The sequence below is a fragment of the Homo sapiens genome, chromosome 18 (assembly GCF_000001405.40).
Source record: "Homo sapiens chromosome 18, GRCh38.p14 Primary Assembly".
NCBI lineage: Eukaryota > Metazoa > Chordata > Mammalia > Primates > Hominidae > Homo > Homo sapiens.
The window spans coordinates 48,185,104-48,209,196 of NC_000018.10; the positions used below are offsets into that span (position 1 = coordinate 48,185,104).

Here is a 24,093-nt window from a genome sequence, read left to right on the forward strand (position 1 = left end):
CCCTGTCCAACCTCACCAGCATCTTCTCCCCTCCCACCCTCAGACCCATGCCTACACCATCCTCCACATAGGCATCCACCCCTGTTCCTTCCTTCCTGGAATGGCCTCCCTCCTCCATCAGTCCAGTTCAAGCCTCTCCTTCTCCAGGAAGTCTTCCCTAACCATTTCCCATCCCCAGCATTTCTGCCCGGGCCATGCCAGCCAGAGCTGGTGCACACACCTGGTCATAAAGTTCTTTGTCTCATATGCAGGTGTCTTCTCTTCCTGAACTGGACTGAAAGCTCCTCCAAAACAGAGCCAATGCCTGCTGCTTCTCGTGGATTTCCCAGAGCTTCCAGGTGCTGCCTGGCACCTGGTGATTAATGACATTCTCAGATTGATTAATGGATTGGTTCCTGTGACTGCACTTAGTTTAACACACTGTTAAATGGCCTCTATGAGAATTTACTGTTCTGAATAGGGGGTCAACCTAGCAGCAAACTTAGAACTGTACAAACTGTTTGTGGCCCCAAGTAAAAAAAAAATGCACATCTCTCTTTTTTCTAGAGTCCTGCTCTCCCGCACAGCAATCGAGTCAAGGGAGTGACTCTTTCATGAGCCAGTGGGAACATTCTCCACTTAGAGGGCAGAGCCAGGGTTCAAACCACCCTCCTCCAATTCAGTGCCTTACATTCCTGGGTTCAGCTCCACCCCAAGGGAGGAAGCTTCCAGAAGAAGAACCAAAAGCCAATCCCATCCAGGTCATGCTCTTTTCCCCTAACAGGGAAATCCACCCACTTCCCAGGAACATTGTTAAGCCACAGAACTAAAAAAGCAAAATTCATACTCACAAGCACCGATGCCTTAGTTTTAAATTTCAGGACACCAGTTTTTCTGCAAATCTGCTCATTTCCTGCAAAGAGAAGAAAGGGACGGAGAATCATATTAGCATCTGCTCTGGGTATCCTCAGCAGTTTCCCGGCCGACCTCAGGCTTCTGCACCTTCTCTGTGTTCTCACTCCCAGCAGCACTCTCCCCTCCCCAGGCACACTGCATGCTAGTTGGGTGGGTGCCCCTCGCTCCTCGCAGGATTCCACCCCTCCAGGCCCGTGGGCTCGGCCCACGCTGCCTCCCTCTCCCTCCCCGGCGCTGTGCCAGTCTCAGATTGACCACTGCCTCCAATTCCCTGAAGGCGCCCTGGCTTCTTCCCACTCCGGAGTGAGGCCTCCACTTCTGTAGCATGGGGTTGCCTAGCAACCCTGCGCGTGCAGCTCGGAAGGCCTTCCTAAATTGGACCTCACAGCACAGGGCATCTCCTTGTACAGCTGCCTGCATCTTAACAATCTGGCTCTGAATAATAACACAATGGTAATTGCATTCATGGACCCCAAACTACATTTAAATAATGTTCAAGAGCTGACACAAACCAACAAAGGCCAGAAAATGCATCGGGGAGGTTGACTGTAAGGCCAGGCAGGAACGTTCGGGGCGGGAGGGAGTTGACACCAAAGACTTGAGTTAATGACAACGCTAACCTGAACTGTGAATTCTCCTGCATTTCGCCTGAGTGTGTCATCACTGTAAAGTGTTGCAATGTGAGTCTGGGCAATTAACGCCCAGAGGCAGTGATGCTTCAAGACAGGATGCCCTTTAGTTCTGCTGATGCATACGTGGATTTTTGGAGGGAGTCAGGAAGTGGGGAGCTCCTTGGACAGGAGGGGAGACTGTTAATGAGTGATTTTAGTTGGCTTTTACAATCGTGGCTAAATACATTTTCGAAGGTGGGGAAATAACTTACCAAGCAAGGGCACAAAGCATTTGCTACCTCAGCGAGGGACAAATTCGACATGACTGATGCACTTCAGGATAAGAAGTGAAGGCAAAGAGGCCTTGACACTGGCTGAAGCGCAGACTGAGCAGCCTAGCTCGGAATGGGGAAAAGGGGTGGGTGCGAGAGGCCAGCTTTGATCTGTGTCCCTGGCAGAGGATACTGTGCAGCTCTGCTCAAGGGAGGAGGGTCTTAGCACACAAGCAGTGGCAAGCTGGCAATCTGCTCCTTGTGGAGCCTTAGCAGTGAGGGCCGGCAGATCAGCTCTGATCATTTGAAAGCTGGAAGCACTTTGTTTTTAAAAAGCTCAATCCTCCTGCAAGGGAATGGGGCAGATATCTGTACATCCACGTTCATCAGCATTGTTCACAATAGCCAAAAGACGGAGGGAAGTCAAACGTCTATTGGGAGAAGAATGGATAAACAAATGTGGTAAATACATACAGCAGAATTTTATTTAGCCTTAAAGTGGAAGGAAATTCGGATACAGGCTACAGCATGGATGAACCTCCAGGCCATTATGCTAAGTGAAATAAGCCAGTCACAAAAAGACAAATACTGTATGATTCCACTTATATGAGGTACCTAGAGAAGTCAAATCCATAAAGACAAGAAGTAGAAGGCCGGGCATGGTGGCTCATGCTTGTAATCCTAGCACTTTGGGAGGCCAAGGTGGGCAGATCACGAGGTCAGGAGATCGAGACCATCCTGGCTAACACGGTGAAACCCCGTCTCTACTAAAAATACACACACACAAAACTTTAGTCGGGTGTGGGGGCCGGTGCCTGTAGTACCAGCTACTCGGGAGGCTGAGGCAGGAGAATGGCGTGAACCCGGGAGGCAGAGCTTGCAGTGAGTCGAGATGGTGCCACTGTACTCCAGCCTGGGCAACAGGGCAAGACCCCGTCTCAAAAAAAAAAAAAAAAAAAAAAGACAGGAAGTAGAATGGTGGTTGCCAGGGGCTGGGCAGGGAGAGGAGAATGAGGAGTTATTGTTTAATGGGGACAGAGCTTCGTTTGAAAAGATGTAAAAGTTCTAGGATGGATGGTGGTGATGATTGCACAACAGTGTGAATGTACTCAATGAATTACACACTTAACAAATGGTTAAAATAAATATCCCCCTGCAACAATAGCACAGCATACACCTCCACACTGTTTCTCTGCAAGACTTCAGTCCATCTTCATTTTGGAAGTCAGAGTGGCCTGTGTCATTCACAAGCTTGGACAGGGAGACTCACTGGGACCAAAGGACATAATGGACAGTGTGACTGGGCCAGGGAGCCTGTATTAGTCTATTCTCATACTGATAATAAAGACATACCCGAGACTGGGTAATTTATAAAGGAGAGAGGTTTAATTGACTCACAGTTCTGCATGGCTGGGGAGGCTTCAGGAAACTTAAAATCATGGTGGAGGGGGAAGCAACACATCCTTCTTCACATAGTGGCAGCAAGGAGAATGCAGAGTGAAGAGGAGGAAAAGCCCCTTATAAAACCATTGGCTCTCGTGAGAACTCACTTGCTACCATGAGAACGGTATGGGGGAATCCAGCCCCATGATTCAATTATCTCCCACTGGGTCCCTCCCACAGAATCTGGGAATTATGGGAGTTACAATTCAAGATGAGATTTGGGTGGGGACACAGCCAAACTATATCAGAGCCCATGGCTCATAAGCATGGTGTTTGTGCAATGTGGCCTCAGACAGAGAGAGGGGTCTGAGCATTGAGAGACAGGATTCTCCTATTCCCACCTCTTGAAGTCCAAACACCATCACCTTCCAGAACTCAGCCTCCTTCCACTTAGCCAGTCCTATCCCTGTGTCCCCTGTCTGCTCTCCCCACCGGGAACCTGGGCTCCTATTACACTTTCATTGTTACCATTTGTTCACCTCATACCCCTGCCTAGAAAGCCCCTTCCTGTGCCATCTGAACTAATTTTACTCTTTCTACTGGGTCCACATCAAAGTCCACCTCCCTCATCAAGCCTTCCAGATCCCTCCCAGTTGTACTTTCTCTGAATGCCACAGCCCGTAATCAATCACTTCTTAGGTACTATCTCATGTTCTTGTCTGAAAATCTGGTCTCTTCTAATAAGTCCCTGAAAGGAACCCTGAGCAATGATTATTGCTAACATTTTTTTGTCCACCACAAGCTGTAGCTCAGGGCTGAGCACACCATGGTTGCCGGATTGCCTTGCCTCCTTTCTCAGGGAATTCTAACCATAGCTCCCCTGCCCAGGGCACAAAGCATGACTGCTGGCTGCAGAGCCCTGGAGCTAAATATTCCAGGTGAACGCTCAGTTCCTTCCAGTCACTTAGAGGTGTAACTCAATGTGTGCAATAAACAATTGAGCATTTACAGATTTTATTAATTTGGAAAGGTCATTAGAGCTAACAGCTTCTCCAAGTGAGAGTGAATAAATAGCATGGGTAATTTTTTTTCTATGCCCTGGATTTTTTTTCTTGGAATGTACTTTAAGCCTCAAAAATAATGTTAGAAGTAAAAAAGAAAAAAAAAATCCAGGCTTTGGAGACAGGGGGAGACTGACAGGAGTTCTGGACAAGCCTCGTCCCCTCTGTCTTCCCATCTGCAAAACAAGGGAGTGGTCTCAAAGGTTCTTCCAACTTAGAAAAATAAAATTATGATTCAATTTTAGGAATGTGAAATTAGCTAGTGACCTTCCAAGTTAGCAGTTGCTGCCTCTCCCCCACCCATCCTTCCAGGTGCCCCTCGCCTTGGATAGATACGGCATAAGTTCACACCTCTGCAGCCAGAACAAGGTCCTTAATCATTTCAGGTGCCTTCCCAGGCCCTGACCTGGGTGCTCTCAATCCCAACGACCTGGCTCGCCTTGCTCTCATTAGATCATTAAGGAATACTCAAGACTAATGAGTTGTTTTCTTGAATCTCCAAAAATGGCTGGAAAGGGGCAGGAGGGCATCATCCAAGCTCTGTCTCTCCTTGGCTCGGTGACCAGCCAGTGCTGTCTGTCAAGGGCTGGCCTCTGCGGGGCAGATGCTCCTGGCTCTTCCCGACAGGTGAGAAATGGAAGCAACATTCAGGGAGTGGAGTGGAGGGGCTCTGGCTCCTGCCTGCTGTCGTGGGGAGAAACACTTGGCCCTTGACCAGAGTGCTGTTGGCCAAGGCTTTTCCTGACATCCTTTTCTCTCCCTATCATCATCCGTCCCTCTTCTCTCTGCCTTGGGTGCGGGCAGATGCTGGGAAGGTGGGAGTGCAGTGTCTGTCTGTGAATGTGTGGCCACAAACACTCTTGCCCCCACCTCCAGACTGCCCAGGATTATCAGGAGCAAGAAGAAGACTAAGTGTGAATCAAGACTCTGTAAGGAACAACATTAATACTAATCTTAACATTACCATTGATATTAACTATATGATGGTTTATGATTAAAGAAGTATTTTCCCACGTATGTATCAGGTAGGTAGAATAGATTCAACACATTTGTTGAGTACCTGCTGGGGATGCAGATATGAAAAGGTGTGAATCCTGCCTGCCAACTCCGTGCAGGAGGGTTGTAGACAAGATGACGGAGGCACAGAGGAGCTGAGCAATTGTCTTAGTGTCATCCAGCTAGCAGACACTGAAGCAGTGCTCAAATCAAGCCCATGAACTCAGGGGCCCTTTGCAACTCTACCTATATGACTTGTGAGTTTAGTATGAAATTTAGCCTGCATGACATCCTTCAGAAGGGAACAGCCACTAGACAGGATGGTTTGGGGACAGTGGGATTTTATGCCTAGAATGAAACAGCGACTGTGGGCTTCAGTGCATGGGAGGCCCAAGGCACCCCAGAGAGGCAGGCCCTGAGCTGAGCACAGTGCAGAGCCCACTGCAGACACAGCCTTGCTGTCCATGGCCTTTGTGCCCATTGCTAAAGATCCCCCCTCTCAGCAGCCTTTGTAGAGAGGCCTTGAAAGTTGAGGCAAATTCATGACATCTTCCCCCCACCACCCAATCTGCACTAACCTTTCTTGGGCACAGCACTTATAATCGGCATGTGACACAAAATTGGTGTTGTTCTTCTTGGAGTCTCTTTTGGGGAAAACAAGTCCCATGCTTGGGGGAGTCGTACAAATCTCTCACTTTACAACCAAGGCCACGGAAGCCCAGTGGGGCCAAATACCTTGCCTTGAGCACACTAAAGACAAGAGCGGAAGTCAGGTTCCCAAACTCCCTGCCCAGGGCCTGCACACACCCACCTTGCAGAGGTGGGAGGGTAGGAACGGGCTGTGCTTTGCTTCCTCTGACCTTCCAGCAGGTGGAAGATGAGCACATGGCCACCCCTCAGTGAGTGTCTGTGGCTGGGAGGATGGCCAGGTCATGGGCCCTGTGGCAGGGTCTGTAGCTCCCAGGAGGCCATGATGCTTGGTGGTTCAGAGGCAGCCTGGCCCTGCCATCGACCAGCTGTGTGACATTGGGCGAGTGACTTAACCTCTCTCTGCGTCAGATTTTTACCAGCAAACGGGGCATAATAACGCTACCTACATCCTATTTCACAAGGTTGAAGCAAGAATAAAATAAAAGAACAAGGAGAAACACTTGGTGCAGGACCTCAGCTGGGGCCAGCAAGGCTGGCTTTTCCCTGGGAGGTGAGCTCCATGGTGGCGGGTGGAGGACACTGAGCCACTATGCTTATTGCTCAGTCCTCAGTGCCTCACATGGGGCAGGCACATAAATGATAGCTGACCACATTCCTGGAGAAAGTACTTCTGGGGCTAGTGGGAGCCCAGCGCTTGGTGAGAACAAGGCCTGGTGTGTTGAGCTTTCACAGCAGGTGGGCCAGCCTCAGTCCTGAGAGGCCCGGGGGTTGTCCAGCTGAGAGTCTGCAGTGACAGGGAGGCAGCAGCTGCCCCTCCCAGGATCCTTCAGAGGCTATGTTTGCTTTATCTCCAATACTAAAATCAACCACCCTTGGAATGCAAAATGGTACAGCCACTGAGGAAGACAGTTTGGCAGTTGTATACAAAGCTAAACACAGGCTTACCATAGACTCCAGCAATCACACCCTCAGGTATTTACCAAACGATCTGAAAACTTATATCCCCACAAAAACCTGCACACAAATGTTTATAGCAGCTTTATTCATAATTGCCAACAACCAGAAGCAACTAGGCTGTCCTTCAGTAGCTGAGTGGATAAATAAACTGTGGAACATCCAGACAAAAGAATGTAATTCAGCGATAAAAAGAAATGAGCAATCAAGCCACAGAAAGATATGGAGGAAACTTAAATTCATATTACTAAAAAACATGAAAGCAGGTGAAAGAAGGCAACTGGAAAAGGCTACATACTGTCTGATTCCAACTATATGACATTCTGGAAAAGGCACGACTATGGAAACAGTAAAAAGATCAGTGGTTGCCAGGGGTTGGGTGAGGAAGGGATCAATAGACAGAGTACAGAGGATTTTTAAGGCAGTGGAACTATTCTGCATGATACTGTAAAGGTGGATAGATGACATTATGCATTTGTCAAAACCCATAAAATGGTACAACGTGGACCGTGAACTCCAGTGTAAACGGTTGATGATGGACTTTATTTTATTGTTTGAGATGGAGTCTTGCTTTGTCACCCAGGCTGGAGTGCAGTGGTGCGATCTTGGCTCACTGCAACCACCATCTCCCGGGTTCAAGTGATTCTCCTGCCTCAGCCTCCAAGTAGCTGGGACTATAGCCCGTGGCACCACGCCTGGCTAATTTTTGTCTTTTTAGTAGAGATGGGGTTTCGCCATGTTGGCCAGGCTGGTCATGAACTCTGGACCTCAGGTGATCTGCCTGCCTTGGCATCCCAAAGTGCCGGGATTATAGGCGTGAGCCACTGAACCCAGTGGATGATGGACTTTAGTTCATAACAATGTGTCAATATTGTGTCATCGATTATAACAAATGTGCCACACTAATGCCAGATGGTAATAATAGGAGAAACAAGGCGAGGGAGGGTATTGCAAAGGGATGTGTTGTAAGGACTCTCTGTACTTTCTGCTTAATTTCTCTATAAATTTAAAACTGCTCTAAATAATAAAGTTTCTTAATTAAAAAAAAATCAACCATTTCAAAACACAACGCTCGGTGCCAATAAGTATGGGGCATCACTGAGTCCCCACTGGACTCCCAGGCCCCACGCTGGGGACTTGGAGGAGGACTGTGAGACCTGCACGATCCTCCCAACTTGAAGTGCAACCATGTCTGGCCAAAATGTTAGAGACTGTGTGAGAAAGTCAAGTGGGGAGGCCAGCAGGGCCTCCAGCTGGTGATGCAAACAGGGCTGTGCACCCCAGCAACCCGGGCACCTCCGGCTATTAGGCAATGATTCTACTCTTAATTCACTCTTTCTGAGAATACACCCCGGGCCAGGCACACTCTCCCTGACTTCCAGAGGGAAGGTCTATAATAGACTTAGCCCCCTCCTCGCAGGTCTAGAGGCTAGACTCTGCCCAGCCTTTTCCTATTCCCCACACTCCCAACACCAGATATAGTAGGTGTTCAATAAACAGGTATTGAATTAAATAGTAATTATTTGCATGCCTCTTGCTCCCCCATCCAAAAAAAAACCTGATTATAAGCCCCTTACCCAACCTCCCAACAGAGTACTTGCTGAACAAAATGAATAGCAGAATTCAGGTGGAAGGAACACGCCATAGGAGAAACCTTGTGTTTGTTAATGGGGGCACTTGCCGCAGCGCTGAGAGCATATCTCAGAGATGACTCCCCTGGCTGCTCCTGCTCTGCTTTGCTCCCCTCCCCAGCAGGATGGACACTCACCAGCTCCTGCAGGGAAGGGTGGAGAGGCCAGGATCCACTGAAACAAGGTGGCAGGCGCGTGGAGTCATCTCTGAGCATCCTGCCTCGTCAGTGTGGAGACAGAAGCAGAATGAAGCCCCTTGGTCCAGGGACCCATCGTGGGGGTGCCTCTGGGAAGCCCAGCAAGCATTTATGGAGGGTCAGCTGGGGTCTACTCCCTGCCACCTAGCCAGCAGGGCATGAAGCCATGGTGTGATTCAGAGGGAGTGGGGGAGGTTGTGTCTGTGTGTGGCTGAGATAATGGAATCCTCCTTCAGTCATTGCTCTGGGGTGACAGCCCCTTAGAAGTCCACATTTCTGTGACCTTGGCCTAGAATCTTAAAATAGCCCTGAGAAAGAGGGAGGGCTGAGCCCAGAGCCAAGGCCAACAGTGGGGCCTGGGCCAAGGAAGGGGAGGGCAGATGAGCCTGTCCAAGGAACAAAGGCTTCATCTCCCTAGTCTGGCTGCCCAATCTGGGTCCTCTGCTCAGTCACGTACATTTTATTTTTTCTAGACTCAGGCAAGTACTCCTGGATTCCCCACCCTACCCCCTGCCCAGACAGCCAGGGGAGGAGGGATCTCTCACACCAGCTTCTAAGTCATCCTGCAGCTCTCTGTCCATTGCAGGAGCATCCATGGTGAAATATGTGCATTTATGCAGAGTGGTGATATTGCGGGGGTTGTCTGAACTAAAATCTAGAAAGGGGCTAAAGAAGGACTCCACTTTCATAGCTGGGGGGAGGTGTGGTTAGGCCAGTGAACCCTGGTGAGAACTAAGTGCAGCAAGGTGATCATGCCCAGTAAGCTCAGGAGATAATGTGAGAGGGCTCCCAGGGGCAGCAGAGTAAACAGAGGCTTGCAGGATGGGGAGGATTTGGAGAGATAGGGGTGAAGGGCAGTCTAGACAGGGGAGATTCTTAGCAACGCTGCAGAGGCAGGGACAGGCCCAGCATCACCAGGGCAGTGAGTTACCAGGTCTGGCTGGAGCAGATGACATATGCAGAGAGGATCAGGAAATACAGCCAGGAGGGCAGCTGAGGAACCCCAAATGCCCGCCAGCTGACTCTGGGCTTGAGTCTTTGGATAGCTGTGGGGAAGGGAGAACAGATGAGGAGGAGTGGGTGCTGGAGTGCAGCATTTTGTTCGGGCCCTGCAGAGACACATCTGGGAGGGGGGAGGGGGCAGAGGGACTGGCTCAGGCTGAAGTCATCCCCATCCCTGCTTCCCCTTGGCTACTCCCAATTTTGCCAGCTCTGGGAAACTCAGCCAACTAAGCATCTGTGGCCCAAAAATGTAATCTCTGCGTACCAGCCTCTGATTCAGAGAAGTAGGAGTGAGTTTCTAGGAGCTAAAGCCCTGGCAAATATACTATGGTAGGGGCCCTCTTAGCTGTCTGGACTAGTGAGCTACCTGAAAGATTTTAACCTTTAATATATACTTGTACATTCATTCACCAAACTTTTGATGTAACATTAAGGTCTTTTTCTATTTTTTGGTAAATTGTTTCTATTATTATTTCTTACATAAACCATACTCATATGGTGATATGGTTTGACTGTGTCCCCTTCCAAATTTCATCTTGAATTGCAGCTCCCATAATCCCCACGTGTTGTGGGAGGGATGTGGTGGGAGGTAATTGAATCATGGGGGCGGGTTTTCCCCTGCTATTCTCGTGATAGTGAATACGTCTCATGAGATCTGATGGTTTTATAAAGGGGAGTTCCCCTGCACATGTTCTCTTGCCTGCCGCCATGTAAGACATGACTTTGCTCCTCCTTTGCCTTTTGCCATGATGGTGAGGCCTCCCCAGCCATGTGGAACTGTGAATCCATTAAACCTCTTTTTCTTTATAAAATTATCAAGTCTCGGATATGTCTTTATTAGCAGTGTGAGAACAGACTAATACATATGGCACTGCCTACAATTTCCAGTTTTCAGTTTTTTTTTCCACTTGAATGACAAATTAAATACATTGGCAAAATAATCTGAGTGTAAAAAGTCTCCCTAGATTTTTTTGATATTTCCCCAACAACCTTCCGCAGTTGTTTCACCCACACCTAACTCAACAGCATTTTTAAAAAATGACTCAAAATGACTCAAAAATGTTTTTGTGAGTCTTTCCAAAGCTTCAACTTAGTTTTCATAGAAATATTTTCTTCTTTTTTTTTGCAACAGTATTTAATTGGCTTGTATAATATTTAATTAAATTGCATAATTACAATAGCAAGTTCCACTGGCATAAACAGGTTTGGGAATGAAGCCCAGCTGCCTCCAGGAAAGCATTTGGCTCAGCTGGTGGGAGCAGACATGGTGGACATCTTGGACAGCAGCCTTCCTGTCCCAAGTGTTCCTCTAGCTGTGGGTATCAGTCAGGGGGAATGGAGAAAGCTGGTAAATTTGGCAAGACAGTTAATTGCAGTTTAGAGGGCATCCAGTGCCCTCCTTATCCAGACCTAGGAAGGCTACTTCTTCAGAGACTAAGGACCTGATGCTGGCGTGCCCACCTTGGTCCAGTCCTCCCCTGGGGCTGCTTCTTCCCTACTCCACCCTTTGGGGAGTGGGCTATATCTCTCCAGATGCCTTTCCCCTCCGTGCATCCCCACCCAAGACTTCCTCCCATTGCAGCTGTCTAGGAAGGATTTGGCAAACTAACTTTACAGCTTTAGTAACAGACAACAGCCAAATGCACCACTCTCCCAGAGGTGACAGGAACTTCTTACAGAGGTGAGTTTCTAATATGTAATTTCAGGCATCTGCAGTAGGTTGCTTGGGGAAGGATTTGGGGGTCAGAGGGATGTCTAGGAGTCTCTCAATCAAACCACCCTCCTGAGGCTAGGTTTATGTCCAATTGTGTCACCGCTGTGCACATGTCCCCATAAGAAGATGTGGCCACGGACTTATCTCTCATTCTTCATGTTCTGAAATCCTTTATGTTGTATGGGATCCTCTCCTCTTTTAACTTCCCTTCTGAAAGTCTTTTTTTTCTAGACCCAGCTCTATGGGTCACATATAGCAAAAGTCAATATTTAACCCAAATGCCATCAAATCAATGAACCACCCAACCGACCAACCAACCAATCTCAAGTACAGTGTTAGCAGGCACCTGCAACTCATGAAGAGAAGAAGGAAAATGCCCTTCAGAAGAACATATCTGTAGTGAATATTTGCTACTTTGAACCATCCACCTTTCATTCTGCCTTCCTCTTGGAAAGAGAAAGCTAATTTCCTTCCAGATTACCACCTGGCCCCCACAACCAATGTGTTTCAGGGGTGGGTCATGGTTGGCTTAAGTGAATCAGCTCAAATCTGTTCCCTGGCCACGGTGACGAGACCAAATTCTGTCACATAAGATGCAAGGAGATGTTTGCTAGGGACTTCTGGGGAAGATGCTCCACTATTAGAGATGTGGAAGGTGCATGCAAGGCCTGGAGCTGCTACAGCCATTTTGTTACCATAAGAAGTCCAGTGAGCAATGCTGAGCTAGTCACAGAAAAATGGAACTAGGGACCAGATCAAACTGCTCCTGAAGATCATCCTGCCTCCAATCATCCTGCCTCCAAACTTTTCATTTACCTAAGTCAATAAATTACTTTTATTGTTTTGAATTGGCTAACTTTTAAAAATCAAACTGATAAATATACATGGTTTTACAAAATCAAAAATAATAAAAGCTCAGCAATGAAAAATAGCAGCCCCTGCTCCAGCCCTCTCCACACTGAGCCCCAACTCCCAGAGATAACAGCTCTCAATTTTTAAAAAGCCACTTCTCCTGTTCTTCACTGACATATTTTTAAATAAAATGCTGTATTGGTCAGCTAGGGCTGCTGTCACAAAAATGTCATAAACTGTGTGACTTTAACATCAGAAATCTGTCATAGTTCTGGAGGTTGGGAGAGTTCAAGGTCAAGGTGCCGGCCAGTTGAGCTTCTGCTGAGGGCTCTGCTCTTGGTTTCAGACACCATCTTCTCACTGTGCCCTCACATGCCAGAGAGAATACACTCTCTGGTGTCTCTTGTTAGATGGACACTCATCCCATGGGATCAGGGCTCCACCTTTATGACCTTGCTTAATCTTAATTCCTTCCTTACTCCAAATACAGCCATATTGGGAGCTAGGGCTTCAACATAAGAATTATAGAGGGATGCAGTTCAGTTCATAGCACATTTCTAGATTTCCTACTTTAGATATTATCTATTAGTGTCTCATAATGAAAATGAGGTTTTATCTCCCTCTAACCACATGTTTCTGTTCCCTGTATCTTCCTGATACCATCATTTTTAGTGAAATCAATTGTCAGTGTTTGCAGTATTGTGATGAGGTAGATATGATTCATGGATGAGCACAAGATACGATTTCCCTTCTTGCATAACGTTGTACTTTTTCCTTTCATTGTTAAAAACAATGGCTTTATATGCACTTAACTCTTATTTACACATAAACTGACTTCCAGGTCTGTTAAAATCCCTTCCTAGACAGTTCAGCAAGTTAGAAATCTGTCCATTCCATTTTCATTTTTTCCTAGAATCACCCCATCTAGAGTTCCCCATCTTCCAACTCCAGTCCTAGACCAAGTGCTCCGAAGCCTGGTGCACAGCTGTCACCTGGATTCTTGCATTGGACCTCCAGACACACTGCATCAGTTTCGAGTGCTGCTCTAACAAATTTCCACAAACCAAGTGGCATAAGACAACACAGATTTCTTATCTTAGAGTTCTGGAAGTCGGCAGTTGGGAATGGGTCTCAGCGTGCTAAAACCAAAGTGTCGGCAGGGTTGTATTCCTTCTGGAGACTCTCAGGAAGAATTGTTTCCTTGACGTGTCCAGCTTCTAGAGGCCACCACATTCCATGGCTCAGAGTTCCCTTCCTTCATCTTCAAAGCCTGCAACCTCGGGCGAGCCCTTCCCATATTGCCTCCCTCTGACCTCTCTTCCATTTCCCTCTTTCATGTATAAGGACCCTTATGATCCAATCCAGCACATTCTGATCACCCAGAGCGATCTCCCCATCTCAGGGCCAGCTGATTCACAGCCTTCATTCCATCTACCATCTTCAATCCCTTCTGCCGTGTAACCTAACACTTTCACAGGCCCTGGGGATTAGGATGTGGACATCTTTGGGAGACCATTATCTTGTCTACCCTACACACCATGCTTGTTTCTGGTTTACTCTGGTTTCAGTGGCATGAATGCTCCTCTGGCAGCTTCCTGAGAAAGGCTGCATTGGAGGCACATCATCTGAGCCCATGCCTACCTGAAACGACTTTATTCCTCTCATTCTTGACTGGCAGGAATAGAAAGCGAAGCTGGAAACCACTGTCTTTTGGAAGGCTGAAGGCACTGTCCCAGTAGCTTCTAGATTCCAGGAACGCTGGTAGAAAGTCTAATGCTGTTCTGTGTTCCGATTTTTGCAGGCAACGTCCTTTTTTTCTCTCTGAAGGTTCTATAACTCTTCTCTTTATCTCTAGTATTCTGAAATTCCACAATGATGTGCCCCGTTGTGGGTCTGTGCCATTCATTCTCGCAGTCTGGAAGCTCTTGTATAACTTCTCTGATACTTTCCTCTCCTCGGGTTTTATTCTCCATTTCTGGAACTCCTACTGCTGGCCCTCCTAATTTCCTTAATTTTTTCAAATCCTCGTTTCTAAATCATTGTCTTCTTTTCCCACATTCTGAGAAAGTCCGTCATTTCTCTCCCTCAAATCTTCTACTGAATTTTAAATTTCTGCTATTATATGTTTAATTCCTTATTCCTTGGATGTTTCTTTTTTATAACCTTCCATTCTCACTTTATGGATGCATTATCTCCTCTTATCTCTCTGAGGACATCAATTACAGTTTTATTGAAGTTTTCTTCCACTCCTGGGCTTGGCTCTATTCCTTCGAGCTCTTTTTCTGTTGTTGTATAATTGTTTCCTTTTCCTCCCCCTCCTTCTCCCCCTCCCGCTCCTCCTCATTCTCCTCCTCCTCCTCCTCCCCTCTCTTTCTCTCTGTCTCCTGTTAGAGGTTTCCTTTCTACAAATACCAGCTGATACTTCACCACCATTTATAGTTAAGAGTAAGACACTAAAAAGTCGGTCATTTCTCTATGGAGGATTAGGGAGGGATCTGGTCATTTTCCAGAGGATATGATCCAAGAAGTTCCAGGCTTGGAGACACTGCTTACGGCTGAGGGAAGGCTTGAGCGCTATACTCAAAATGAAAGAAGGCATTCAAAACTGCACGCTGAGTGGTGACACTTCTAGCACTTCTCTACTTCGGGTGAGAATTTGAGGAAATGTATTTGTGTGTGTGTGTGTGTGTGTGTGTGTGTAATTTTTTTTTGACTCTTGGGCCAGTCAGTTTACTTGCAAAGGAACCCTTAGCCACCCTGCCTGGAGAATAGACCCTGGCTGCCAGTATTCTTGGAGCCCAGCGTACGACACCTATTTCAGAACTTCACGACACTGGGATTTCCCAAGGGACTCTAAAGAGTGAATTAACCGTGAAGAGTCAGCAAGAAACCCTTCTGGAGTAGGCACGGTGACCCCAAATCATCCACATCTCCCACCTGGTCGTGCCCCTTTCAGGTTCATATGTCAGAAAACCCAACCGAGACATATTTAGTGACCCACACTCCATATTTTGCCTTGGTGAAGGGCCTGTGTGGCCGGTGTTTGTAGTACAGGCCAGACCAGGGAAGGACGAGGAGGGCAAATCTAACCCCTACCTGGAGACAGACTCAGTCCACAGTGGTATATCACTGATACACCACACCAAACACAAGTAGGACAGGCACGAAATATCTCATACCACAAGCATCAGCAGGTGTGAAATCAAGACCCAGAGGCCAGTTGCTAGCCTGTTATTGCAGTTTTCTCATAAATAATATGAAAATCCACCTAGTCATGAGGATAGAGTTTTCTAGCAGACAGATGCCCGTCAACAGGAAATGGGTCCTTGTATTGAGAGCTACCTCAGATAAACCACAGGCACCCTGCACCTCCACAGAAGCACGGTGCAGGGCAGGCTGGCCATCAGCCTTCCGCCCTCGTCCCAGCTCAGACTCCACACAACAGCATCTAAACTCAGGCCCTGATGGCCAAGCAGCCTCTGGCGGAGCAGAAAGTAGATGGGCTCTCTATGGGGAAGCTGACACTTGGCCCAGGTCCCCACCTGCCTCTTGAAAAGCAACAGACACGGTCCCACTCACTGTGGGGAGAAGCTGAGGTGTGTGGCTCACGCCTGACCCTGGTCAGGATGAAGCAGGCCACCCCAGGCACCACCCCCTTGGAGCCCCAGGCAGGTGCGGAACATCTAACACCTGCATGTGGGCATCGCACCTGCGCAGGTGAACTCCACTTTCCATACAGGACAACATCCCGACACCCCAGATCTCACTTTAAGCCCCTAAAGACATGGCTACATAAGTACAAAGTCATTTTTGTAAAGTGAATCATTCCCCTCCATGGCTTCCCCCTCTCCATGACACATACAATCGATCTGTTCTTCAGATGTTCAGACTGAACACCAGGCATGCTGAGAAGGAGAATCACCTACTTTAGAATTGTTCTTTTAAAAAACATCAACATCAACAACAATTAAACCCTCCTCTGACAGACATGCATGAATGCTGGGAAGCAAAGGTATAGCCCAGGATGTAAATCCAGGGGACGGTAGGCCCCAGGAGGGGATTCTTTGTATCTTTATAAACTTGATCGGGGCTCCTCTGATGTCCATTCCTGTGATGACATCACCCCTGGCTCTGGCCCTGCCTAGCACAGTCCCTGTCCCATGCTCTGACAAGTTCTTGAGGGAGCCCAGTGACTCATGGCATTCGATTTTCCACACATCTTCTTCCCCCCGTTTCTGGAGTCTGCCCCTCCCTCCACCTACACTCCAGGTGTCCTGCCTCTCCTCCTGCCTCTTTCCCTCCATCTTTCCAGAGCCACCTCCTTTATCTCCACCCCAGGTGCCTCTTGCTTTTAAAAATTTGTTATGAAATATTTCAGACATACAAAAAGGCCAGAAAAATACTATAATGAACACCTGTGCACCCACCACCAGGCTGCATAAATAAAAAGCAGCTCTTTCTAATCCGAGGCGCGCATCCCTCTCTGACACCACAATTCCTAGCAGCCTTTGTTCCAGTCTTCCTCGGGAAAAACCCAGAGAGCTGCATAAATCCAAGGCATAACCAGCTGTCATCTGGACTCCACTATATTAATTTTTCCACTACCCTTTGTGGCTGCACGAAGCTCCCTTCCACCCACCAGCCTGTCTTCTTCCTTTATGATTTGACCGCTTCCCAATCCCAGAGGCGAACTGGCTTGCTGAAGGTTCCCACCTAGCTAAAAGCCACACGTGCAGGTCAGCGGAGAGCTGAGTGTTGGAGCAGGGACTTTGCCTGGGTGATGCTGCTGGGCGGGACCACAGTGCTTCCTGCTCACGCTCAGGCACTAGGCCACTCTGTGCATCAGGAATGGTGCAGGGGCTGGGAGGAGGCAGGACATGGACATTGCCTTCCATGGCCTTGTAGTCTTTTGGGGACAACAGACACACGCAGAGAGGGAGCCCAAAGCCTCATGGGCAGGGCTGGAGTTCAGGGTATCTGCCTGTGCAGCACAGCGGGGGCTGCTGAGTCCAAGAGGTCGCGAGGGATTAGAGATGGAACTCAGAATGGGCAAGGATTGAGGGAGGGAGGGACATGCTGGAACCTTCCAGGTGAGAGAAAGTGAAGCAGGAGGCACAGTCGCAGGGCGGGACAGAAGGGGGACAAAACCAGGTGGGGGGCGGGGGGTGGCTGGCAGGATGAAGCCAGCTGGGCAGGGTCCTGGTGGCAGCGGGCTGCGAGGGTGGGTGTGCAAGCTAAACATGCAAAGGAACCCCACCTCTCCCCGCCCAGCTGTCCTTAGTACCCCACTGTGCTCTGCTCAGATCCTCAGTGGGGATGGGTGTACGGGGGAAGCTCTTTGTGATTGCTTCCTCCCCCACCCCACCCCCGCCGCACGCAGGCCATGGGAGGACATAGAAGGCCAGTGATGTTGACACTGGCACAGCCTGAACAGAGGTGGAACACGATGCACTGGGTGCCCTCTCCCCTGCAGCTTTACCCCAGGAGATAAAGAGTGTCCATGTAGCCAGGAGTCCCATGGCAGCTGTAACCCACAACCCTGGGCAGAGGAAGGGCTCAGGAGTTGGGCATGGCCTTCCCCTGCCTCCACAGAAGTCTCCAGCCTGAAGATCACCTCCTACCTCCCCACCTACGCCCCTGGCCTTGCCCTCTTACCCTGCTTGCCATTCATCCAGCAGCCTCAAGACCCCCTCTTCTCACCCTCACCCAGCCACGGCCCCTCCAAGGTGTCCACACCTCCCAGCATGGAATGTCAGGCCCTCTGTTGAGCAAGAGGATGGAGGCCCAGATGCCTAGCTTTGGTGCCTCTGCCATGAGAGTCTTCCCCCTTTTCTGCCCGGGGCCTCACTCAGTCTCCCTCTTTCCACCCTTTCCCAGCAGAGACCATACTCCAGGAATTCATGCACCAAGGCCTAAGGGCTCACAATAACACACAGCGTGGCTCCAAGCACAGTCCTAAGTCAGCAGAGCCACAGCTCCAGGTGGTTGCAGGAGATGTGGGAGGTGGCACCACTGGACTCATGTGGCCAGGGACATGGCTGGCCTGGGCCGAAAGCTGGCAGGCTCCGCTACAGGGATCTTTCCTTAACTCACCCTATGTGGAGAAATCTTAAAGCTGCTGAGAAGGACAAAACAGCTTGGGTCCACTGTAGGAATGTTCTGCAGTGCAAAAGAATGGACTTCCTCTTTTGCTTCTGATCCTAGACCCATATTCCAGAAACATCAACAACAGGGACAGCGGCCCCATGGAGCTGCCTTCAGGTTGCTTCATTTCTGTGTGACCTTCTCAGGGCTAAATCTTTTGGTGTCACCTTCCCTCAGAAGTGGGACCATGGGCCCCCACTGCCCCACCCCCTGGGTTGGGTGTTCCTGTGGTTACCCTGAGCTCCACCACAGCACCTGTCCCGCCACTCTTTAAATGATTCCTGAAGCAGGAGCTGTGTCCCCCTCATCTTTACATCCCCAGCACCCAGCCCAGAGCCTGGCACAAGGGAGTTGCTTGAGAAGTGCAAGGTGCAGGCAGCCCCCCACCCCACCAAATAGTCTTTGCAGTACAGGGTAGAGAGGAGGAGAGGCTCTGAAGAGGGGGTGTCTCCTCTACTCATAATTTCCCTGGGGATTTTTCAGTGACAGCTGTTAAGCCATCCTTGACCATTCTGCATGAGTCCCTGATCCTGAACCAGGTGGCCCACACATCAGCTACAGTGTGAAGCTGCTCTTGCACACCTGGGAGATGGGGGCTCCCCCTCAGGCCCTCACCCCTTCTCTCTGCAGTGCCTCCCTCCTTTTTGCATTCCTTCCACCTCTGATTTATACCTTGGCCACTCCATCAGGTCACACTGCTTGCGGTGGTGGGAGATGGATAGAATGTGCCTGGAGAGGGTCCTCACAGAGACAGCAGACGTGCTGGGAGGAGCTGGCCTCCTCCTCTCCACCCAACCAACTCTGCGCATGCCCAGTCTCTCACTCCAGCCTCCCTTGTGAACCTACCCACCCCATTCCACACGGATCTTTTTACCTAGATACCCACTGCACTTATCATCTCCTCCTCTTTCTTGGCCTTCTGGGCTGCTTCTAAGGGAGAGGCTCAGAGCCAGGTGGAACTGGAGAGGATGACTAATGCCCTTTTATAATCTCGCTGGGAGACAAGGCCCATGCAGGAAGGGAAGGTACAGGTTGGAAAGCCTGATAGCTTTCCTTGCTGATAGAGCCGGAACTTAAACCCAGGCCTCCAGACTCCTGAGACATTCCTTCCCTTCATGTAGCTTAAGCTTTGCCTCCTTATCTACAGCAACATTCCTAAAGACAAGACCATGCCTCTTGAGGACCAAGCAAAAGAGTCACCCAGACTAGGACCTTGGCAAATATTTGACAAATGGTTGTGTTATGTGTTCCATGGCCTAAGGTTACCTCCACAGACCCACTCCTCAGTACCAATTCCACCCTCTCTCCCAACACATCCCAGCTATACCCCTGCAGCCTATGCCAGAGGCTCCCATGGAAACTCAGCCAGGAGCTCTCAAAGGAGAGAGAAAGTGTGTACATTTAGCCTGCTTTGGGCTTACTGGCAATTCTCATTTGGCTGCTGACTTCTCTTGGCCACTAAGCAAAGAGGTAAGTACTCATTTTAATGGTGGCAAGGTACAGTGAGAATAAAAAAGCAGCCCAGCTTGGGGGTGGAGTGGGGAGCAATCTTGAGGGGGGTTATATCTGCCTAGGGACCAATGACCAGGGATCCTCAGGGCCCTGGGGACACTCTTCTTTCCCCTCTCTTCACTGTAGGAAGATTTTCAGGGTAGCCAGGAAGTATTTACTGAGGTCTAGCACTCTGCAGAAGGGGTTAGAGGACATCTAACCCCTTAGTTTACAGTTTGGTTCAGGCAAGACTAGAACAAATAAATGAATCTAGCAAGGCTGCTAGACAAAAGGTCAATAATCAAAAATCAATTATATTTTCTATAGACTAGTGACAATATGTAGAGGACAAAATTTTTAAATACAACTTACAATAGCATTAACAAATTAAATACCTAAGAAATAAAACCAGTGAAATATGGGCACAACCTCTACACTGAGAAGTACAATGCCGAGACAAATAAGACTTAAAGAAATGGAGGTACTATGTTCATGAGTTGAAATAATCAATAGTGTTAAGATGTCTATTTTCTGCAGGAAGGAAATAGACAGTATTAATAACGAAGTCAATTTCCTGTAGGAAGGAAATAGACATCTTAACACTATTGATTCTTTCAATTAATGAACATAGTACTTCCATTTCTTTAAGTCTTATATGTTTAGTCATCTATGGTGAGTAAACATAAAAGATCATGCAAATGCGAAATAAAGAGACCATATTCTGCAACAACCAGAATGGCTGAAATAAAACATCAAGTATTGGCGAGGATGTATAACAACTGGGACTCTCTGAAATGACTACTAGGTCAATACAATTACTTAGCAAGGCAGGGGAAAGAAGAATGTCCCCAGGGCCCTAGGGATCCCTGGCCATTAGTCCCTAGGCAGGTATAACCTCTCTCAAGGTTGTTCCCCACACTACCCCCAAGCTGGGCTGCTTTTTTATTGCTCACTGTCCCTTGCCACAATTAAAATGAGTGCTTACCTATTTACTTAGTGGCCAAGAGAAGTCAGGCAGCAGCCAAATGAGAATTGCCAGTGGGCCCAAAGGAGACTCTAGATTCAATGCAGGTCCAGTCAAAATCCCAGCAGTTTTGTTCCCTTGTGTTTGTGTATACATGTGTGGAAACTGAGAAGTGATTCCAAAAGTATATGGAAATGCAAATGACCTATAATACCCAGGTCAATAATGAAGAAGAACAAAGAGAATTTACACTATGTGATATCAAAACTTCTACTGTAAAGCTACAGTAGTAAGCAGAGTGGTATGGTGTATAGGTTCAAGTATACACAAAGAAGCCAATGGAACAGAATAGAATCCAGAGATAGACATATTCACATATGGTCACTATGACAAAGGGTCCACTGCATTTCAGCTGGGAAAGAATGGTGCTTACAATACATGGTGCTGAGTCAACTGGATAGCTATATTAAAATAAATGTTTCGCAGCACTTTGGGAGGCTGAAGTGGGAGGATCACTTGAGCCCAGGAGTTAGAGACCAGTCTGGGCAATATGGTGAAACCCTGTCTCTACAAAAAATAAAAATAAAAAATTAGCTGGGCATGGTGGTGCATGCCTGTGGTCCCAGCTACTCCAGAGGCTGAAGTGGGAGGATCGCTTCAGTCCAGGAGGCTGAGGCTGCAGTGAGCTGTGATCTCACCACTGCATTCCAGCCTGGGTAACAGAGCAAGATAATAAACAAACAAACAAACAAATAAATAAAGTTGACCACTGCTTTCCACTGAAGTAATTTCGAAGGGATCATAGACCTAAACATGAAAGCTAAGACAACAAAGCTGCTGAACGACACCCCTGGAGAATATATGTTTGTGATCTCAGGTAGGCAAAGAAGTTCGTTAAACAGGACAGAAAAAGCACTGACCAGAAAGGAAAAGATTGATAAATGGAAATTTGTCAAAATTTAAAACTTCTCTTCTTCAAAAACACCATTAAAAGAGTAAAAACGCAAGCTGTAGAATGAGAGAAGATATGTGACAGAGAAATCACATCCAAAACATACAAAGAAAGACAACAAATAAGAAAAAAATAGACTTACCAATTAAAAAATAGGAAAATATTTGAATAGGCACTTCTCAAAAGAGGATATCGAAATGGTGAATAAACATATAAGATCATGCAAACACAATATAAAAAGACCACAGGGACGTAGCACTGAAGCAACCAGAATGGCTGAAGTGAGATGTCAAGCGCTGGTGAGGATGTGTAACAACTGGGCTCTCTTCAATGACAGTCAAGAGTGTAAATCAATACAATTACTTCAAAAGAGTGTTAAGCAATATCTCTTAGAGCTAAACATGCATATACCATACAATCCAGCAAGTTCACTGTTAGGTATGTGCCCAGAAAAGATATTTATGTACAACACAAAAACCTCAATGAGAATATTCACAGCAGCATTTAAAAAGATAGTCTCAACCTAGAAATAATCAAAATATCCATCAACAATAAAATGGGTAAAAAAAGTGTGGCATAGTTACTGCATGAATACTATATAGCTACAAAAAAGAATAAACTTCTGAATAGTCTACAACATGAATAAATCTCACAGATTATCTATCAATCATCTATCATCTATCTATCCACTGCCTATCATCTATCTATCTATCTATCTATCTATCTATCTATCTATCTATCTATCCATCTAAAATATATTCTATAGAGACTGGATTTCCCTATGTTGCCCAGGCTGGTCTTGAACTCCGGAGCTCAAGCAATCCTCCCACCTCGGCCTCCCAAAACGTTGGGATTACAGGTGTGGGCCACCACACCAGGCCACAGATATATTGTTAAGTGAAATATAAAATGAGTGAATATGGCATGATTGCATTTATATAAAGCTCAAAACAGCAAAACTGCTGTACAATGATACAAGTCAGGATAGTGGTTACCTTTGAGGGAGTTCCGACTGGACGGAGGTTTAAGAGGGAGCTATCCAGAGTGCTGGGAATGTTCTAGAAGATGATCATGGCATGATTACAAGAGTGTTTACCTATGTGAAAATTCATCAAGCTGTGCATTTAAGGTTTGGACACTTTACTGAAAAGGTAGGGGGGTGTGTTGGGGGGCAATGGTGGAAGACAGGACTGCAGTCAGAAGACAAGAAGAGAATAAAGTATAGCCAGGCAAGGTATAATGAGGGTTGAGAGCTGGCCTTGGTGGCCTTTCTTGTGCCCAAGAGCCTTGGGGAACAGAGCAGCTGTTCCAGTAAAAAGGTTAATGCATCAAGGGTCAGCAATGAAGATAAAAAGGAATCTTTACCAGCACCTAGTCCACTCTGAAAGGACAAATAAACAAGAGTGGTTCCTTTACTTTTGGAGTGTGAGTCAGGAAGTTAAGCTGCCACCTGGGGACTGTCCACCAATGCCGTTCCTGGAGACCACAGAGACCCCTGTCCCCACCCCTGATTTGCATCAAGTGCTGGCTGTTCTAGAAGAAATTAATAAAATTGGTTTTTTTCCTTTTTAAAACCCCAGATCTTCGAACTCATGTCTCTCTAACTTCTACTTATGCCCCAGGAGACAAAGGGGGTGGGGGAATATCTTAGTTGGCACAGAGCCTGGAGTCTCACCCAGATATGAGAGGTGTTGCTTTACATATCGTTTAACTCCTGCAGGCTCCTTAAGATTTCCACCCACTAAATGTGTTGCCTGCCCCAGGAGGGCTTTGTCAGCCTTTCTTCTCATCTCCACCACTGATCCTGCTCCTTGGCCTGGCTCGGAAGCCCCTGTCAACTTCAGCTCACTCACCTTCCCAACATCTCAGACTCTGTGTGGCAGAAGGATGGCTGAGGTGTGCCACTTCCTTATTTGCTTTCCCTTTCCTGACTTAATTTGTGATTTATTGATATTTGTTTGCTTTTAGCAATCCAGCAATCTGGTTTTATTCTCCCACCCTACCCCAGTCACTTATATTAGGGTGGCTCTGAAAGTCTGTTATTTGGATTTGTTCTCCATCTGTCCTGTGCTCACTGTTGCTGTACTCCATGTAATACTGTTTAAAAATAAAGTCGAAAAAGTAACAACTAAATAGATGACAGCCTGGCAAAAACAGCAGCTGTTGCCCATAAGGCAAAATAGAGAATATTCCCCTGGATATATTTATAGAGAAATGGATATTACAGAGTGAGACAGAAAAGAGGACAGAAAAGGGGTCTCAGCTAATGCAGTATCATTTAACCCTCTCTGATGCCAAGGAGGCAATGGATGCTCCAAGTTGGG

The 24,093-nt window shown here is 47.5% G+C and overlaps 1 protein-coding gene across 17 annotated transcripts in view, besides 2 other annotated features; it reads right to left on the reverse strand.

Moving 5' to 3' along the window:
• ZBTB7C (zinc finger and BTB domain containing 7C) overlaps nucleotides 1–24,093 on the reverse strand; it is a 385,914-nt gene that overhangs the window by 158,432 nt on the left and 203,389 nt on the right. For 10 of the 17 annotated variants that reach the window (XM_047437347.1, XM_047437346.1, NM_001371285.1 and 7 more), the window contains one exon: nucleotides 831–892. Coding sequence is in view for 3 of the 17 variants with exons in the window: in XM_047437344.1 (XP_047293300.1) it covers nucleotides 221–228 (8 nt within the window). In the remaining 14 variants the exon portion in view is untranslated. Of the gene's footprint in view, nucleotides 1–220; nucleotides 353–830; nucleotides 893–8,590; nucleotides 8,824–24,093 lie in introns of those variants that run through there. The other 7 variants (NM_001371287.1, XM_047437345.1, XM_047437348.1 and 4 more) reach the window with 3 other exon arrangements.
• Nucleotides 600–1,118: an enhancer, noted in NCBI's record as "H3K4me1 hESC enhancer chr18:45712074-45712592 (GRCh37/hg19 assembly coordinates)". NCBI's record gives its function as "activates a minimal SCP1, AML or CMV promoter by ChIP-STARR-seq in primed H9 embryonic stem cells {active_cell/tissue: H9 hESC(primed)}" and the evidence as "EXISTENCE:reporter gene assay evidence [ECO:0000049][PMID:30033119]".
• Nucleotides 1,119–1,636: an enhancer, noted in NCBI's record as "H3K4me1 hESC enhancer chr18:45712593-45713110 (GRCh37/hg19 assembly coordinates)". NCBI's record gives its function as "activates a minimal SCP1, AML or CMV promoter by ChIP-STARR-seq in primed H9 embryonic stem cells {active_cell/tissue: H9 hESC(primed)}" and the evidence as "EXISTENCE:reporter gene assay evidence [ECO:0000049][PMID:30033119]".